Source organism: Homo sapiens, chromosome 5 (genome assembly GCF_000001405.40).
Source record: "Homo sapiens chromosome 5, GRCh38.p14 Primary Assembly".
NCBI lineage: Eukaryota > Metazoa > Chordata > Mammalia > Primates > Hominidae > Homo > Homo sapiens.
In genome coordinates, this window is record NC_000005.10 from 87,210,514 (window position 1) to 87,215,734 (window position 5,221).

At 36.6% G+C, this 5,221-nt stretch overlaps 1 long non-coding RNA gene across 1 annotated transcript in view; it reads left to right on the top strand.

Moving 5' to 3' along the window:
- The window catches only part of LOC101929380 (uncharacterized), a 127,874-nt gene that overhangs the window by 90,366 nt on the left and 32,287 nt on the right, over positions 1-5,221 (top strand). The window lies entirely within an intron of this gene.

The window sequence follows — 5,221 nt, forward strand, 5'->3', positions numbered from 1 at the left end:
TTGAAGAACAATTAACGTTAGCATCACATAATATATAAAAGGGAAAGAGACTACTTTTTCCACAGCCAGTGCCTTTTGGAGGTGATCCTCATACAAATTGTGTATTTTGGGTGATTTATACTTGCAATATTTTTCTTAAATATAAATAAAAGCACTCATATAGACAAATAAGCAGAAATAGTTCTCATTGAATTTTCATATTCTAGATTTTTTTAATTAAATGGTGATGAAAGGCTGGTATTTAGATTTGGCAAACAGACACCTAAAGGAAATTTTAAAATTTGGCAGCAGACTGCCATGGTATTCATTTATGATAGTAATTTTGAAATCGACAGGCCTTATTCTGTAGACAGCCTTTGATAGAGCTGTTTCAAAATGAGTGAGATTTATTTAAATCATTTCCTCCACCTCAAGAACTTGAGCTTGACAGACATGGACTAAACTAATCTAACCTGTTTTTCAATATCTGGATCTACTGGGAAGCCAGCCAACCAAGAAGAAATAAAAACTCTCTAATGTGGTAGAAACAAAATCACATATAGCATAGCTAGATGAAAAAAAAAATGTAGTTGGGAAACCCACATTGATCTCAGTCGAAAGTGGACTGAATTTGTATGAATACCTGTACCAAAAATCAATCTTTGACTAAAAATGTAGAAGAGAAAAGTACAGTTAAATATGTGAATGGAAAATGGGCTTACTTTACATTGTATAGTGAGTCTTTCAGAGGCACAACCTGACTGAATGCCAAAATTATCAGGGGGAATTTCTGGCAAATATTTTGCCATCCCATACCTGGAGGCTGTGATGGGACTGCCTCAGGATTAGGCTTGGAACATAGAGGATTCCTTTAAAAACAAAACTAAACAAAAAAACATGGAGGTATGGGGGCAGAAATAGTCCCAATAGTGCCAGTTCACCAATATAGGTGCACTCTGATTAGAAAGAACAGTAAGAAAGACAGAAGTTAGACCCACCCTAGAAACCTCAGATTGGGATGACTGTTGGGGCCTCAGAGTTCTCTGGGTAGACTGGAGAATCAAGCAGAAATTGGCTACTTAGAAGAGACCAAGGAGAAGGAAAAGTCATAAAAAGAGAGAGGGAATACACAAATAATAAATTTAGCTGACTTGATCACTGTGCCTCTGGAGAGACTCACCTGAAAATCAAAGGCACAAAATCTAATTGGCCTGAAGACATATTTCCAGCCAGTAAAATTTATCTTAATCTTACCCTCACCTTCATCTTTATTAACATTATAATTATATTCTGCAGTTTATTCCTAAAAAATATCTTAGAGATTATCTAGCTCAAACTGTTCAATTAGAGGATATGAAAACTGAAACCAGAATCATTTAGTGATGGGCCCAAGGTTAGCTAATAAGTTAGTTGCCAGAATCTCCTTCAGACAACTAGGTCAAGTTTCTTATTATTCTATGCCAATGTTTGCCAATCCTCAGTCATTTCTGTCTCCTCTTCACTTTTTGCCTCGTCTTAGTATCACCAATACTATCATCTTTTTCTGAAATTGATTCAGTTTTTACTTAATACATTTACATAAAGAAAAATAATTTTTATTATACTTTAAATTCTGGGATACATGTGCAGAACATGCAGGTTTGTTACATAGGTATACATGTGCCATGGTGGTTTGCTGCACCTGTCAACCATCTACATTAGGTATTTCTCTGAATGCTATCCCTCCCTTTGCCCCCACCCAGCAACAGGCCCTGGTGTGTGATCTTCCCCTCCCTGTGTCCATGTGTTCTCATTGTTCAACTCCCACTTATAAGTGAGAACATGCAGCGTTTGGTTTTCTGTTCCTGTGTTAGTTTGCTGAGAGTGATGGTTTCCAACTTCATCCATGTCCCTGCAAAGGACAAGAACTCATCCTTTTTTATGGCTGCATAGTATTCCATGGTGTATATGTGCCACATTTTCTTTATCCAGTTTATCATTGATAAACTGGTTGGTTTCAAGTCTTTGTTATTGCAAATAGTGCTGTAATAAACATACGTGTGCATGTGTCTTTATAGTAGAATTATTTATAATCCTTTGGGTATATACCCAGTAATGGGATTGCTGGGTCAAATGGTATTTCTGGTTCTAGATCTTTGAGGAATCGCCACACTGTCTTCCACAATGGTTGAACTAATTTACACTCCCACCAAAAGAGTAAAAGCATTCCTGTTTCTCCACATCCTCTCCAGCATCTGTTGTTTCCTGACTTTTTAATGATTGCCATCTAACTGGCGTGAGATGGTATCTCATTGTGGTTTTTGATTTGCATTTCTCTAATAACCAGTGTTGATAAGGTGTTTTTTCATATATTTGTTGGCCACATAAATGTCTTCTTTTGAGAAGTGTCTGTTCATATCCTTCACTCATGTTTTGATGGGGTTGTTTTTCTTCTTGTAAATGTGTTTAAGTTCCTTGTAGATTCTGGATATTAGCCCTTTGTCAGCTGGATAGAAAATTCTCTTCCATTCTGTAGGTTTCCTGTTCACTCTGATGATAGTTTCTTTTGCTGTGCAGAAGCTCTTTAGTTTAATTAGATCCCTTTTGTCACTACTGGCTTTTGTTGCCATTGCTTTTGGCATTTTAGTCATGAAGTCTTTGCCCATGCCTATGTCCTGAATGGCATTGCCTAGGTTTTCTTCTAGGTTTTTATAGTTTTAGGTCTTAAATTTAAGTCTTTAATCCATCTTGAGTTAATTTTTGTATAAGTTGTAAGAAAGGGGTCCAGTTTCAGTTTTCTGCATATGGCTAGCCAGTTTTCCCAACACCATTTATTAAATAGGGAATCCTTTCCCCATTTCTTGTTTTTGTCAGATTTATCAAAGATCAGATGGTTGTGGATGTGCAGCATTATTTCTGATGCATCTGTTCTGTTCCATTGGTCTATATATCTGTTTTGGTACCAGTACCATGCTGTTTTGGTTACTGTAGCCTTGTGGTATAGTTTGAAGTCAGGTAGCATGATGCCTCCAGTTTTGTTCCTTTTGCTTAGGATTGTCTTGGCTATTTGGACTCTTTTTTGGTTCCATATGAAATTTAAAGTAGTTTTTTCTAATTCTGTGAGGAATGTCAATCATGGCTTGATGGGGATAGCATTGAATCTATAAATAACTTTGGGCAGTATGGCCATTTTCATGATATTGATTTTTCCTATCCATGAGCATGGAATGTTTTTCCATTTGTTTGTGTACTCTCTTATTTCCTTGAGCAGTTGTTTGTAGTTCTTCACATCCCTTGTGAGTTGTATTCCTGGGTATTTTATTATCTTTGTAGCAGTTGTGAATGGGAGTTCACTCATGATTTGTCTCTCTGCTTGTCTATTCTTGGTGTATAGGAATGCTTGTGATTTTTGCACATTGATTTTGTATCCTGAGACTTTGCTGAAGTTGCTTATCAGCTTAAGGAGATTTTGGGCTGAGACGATGGGGTTTTCTAAATATACAATCATGTCATCTGCAAACAGGGACAATTTGACTTCCTCTCTTCCTATTTGAATACTCTTTCTTTCTTTCTCTTGCCTGATTGCCCTGGCCAGAACGTCCAATACTATGTTGAATAGGAGTGGTGAGAGAGGGCATCCTTGTCTTGTGCCGGTTTTCAAAGAGAATGCTTCCAGTTTTTGCCCATTCTATATGATATTAGCTGTGGGTTTGTCATAAATAGCCCTTATTATTTTGAGATATGTTCCATCAACACCTAGTTTATTGAGAGCTTTTAGCATGAAGGGGTGTTGAATTTTATCAAAGGCCTTTTCTGCATCTCTTGAGATAATCAATCATGTGGTTTTTGTCATTGGTTCTGTTTATGTGATGGATTATGTTTATTATTTTGCATATGTTGAACCAGCCTTGCATCCCAGGGATGAAGTCAACTTGATCGTGGTGGATAAGCTTTTTGATGTGCTGCTGGATTCTGTTTGCCAGTATTTTAATGAAGATTTTTGCATCGATCTTTATGAGGGATATTGGCCTGAAATTTTATTTTTTTGTGCCTCAATTTCAGAATTTATTATTGGTCTATTCAGGGATTTGACTTCTTCCTGGTTTAGCCTTGGAAGGGTGTATGTGTCCAGGAATTTGTCCATTTCTTCTAGATTTTCTAGTTTATTTGCATAGAGGTGTTTATAGTATTCTCTGATGGTAGGTTGTTTTTCTGTGGGATCAATGGTGATATCCTCTTTATCATTTTTTATTGTGTCTATTTGATTCTTCTTTCTTTTCTTTTTTATTATTCTGGCTAGTGATCTATCTATTTTGTTAATCTCTTCAAAAAACCAGGTCCTGGATTCATTGATTTTTTTGAAGGGTTTTTCATGTCTCTATCTCCTTCAGTTCTGCTCTGATCTTAGTTATTTCTTGTCTTCTGGTAGCTTTTGAATTTGTTTGCTCTTGCTTCTCTAGTTCTTTTAATTGTGATGTTAGGGTGTTGACTTTAGATCTTTCCTGCTTTCTCCTGTGGGCATTTAGTGCTATACATTTCTCTCCAAACATTGCTTTAGCTGTGTCCCACAGATTCTGGTACATTGTGTCTTTGTTCTCATTGGTTTCAAAAAACTTATTTATTTCTGCCTTAATTTCGTTATTTACCCAGTAGTCATTCAGGAGCAGGTTGTTCAGTTTCCATGTAGTTGTGCGGTTTTGAGTAAGTTTCTTAATCCTGAGTTCTAATTTGATTGCACTGTGGTCTGAGAGACTGTTGTGATTTCCGTTCTTTTGCATTCGGTGTGTAGTGTTTTACTTCCAATTATGTGGTCAATTTTAGAATAAGTGCGATGTGGTGCTGCTAAGAATGTATATTCTGTTGATTTGAAGTGGAGAGTTGTGTAGATGTCTGCTTGGTCCAAAGCTGAGTTCAAGTTCTGAGTTCTGTAGGTCTGCTTGGTCCAGAGCTGAGTTTAAGTCCTGAATATTCTTGTTAATTTTCTGTCTCATTGTTCTGTCTAATATTGACAGTGGAGTGTCAAAGTCTCCCATTATTATTGTGTGAGAGTCTAAGTCTCTTTGTAGGTCTCTAAGAACTTGCTTTATGAATCTGGGTGCTCCTGTATTGGGTGCATATATATGTAGAATAGTTAGCTCTGCTTGTTGCATTCATCCCTTTACCATTATGTAATGCCCTTCTTTGTCTTTTTTTATCTTTGTTGGTTTAAAGTCTGTTTTATGAGAGACTAGGATTGCAACCCCTGCTTTTTTTCTTTTCCTTT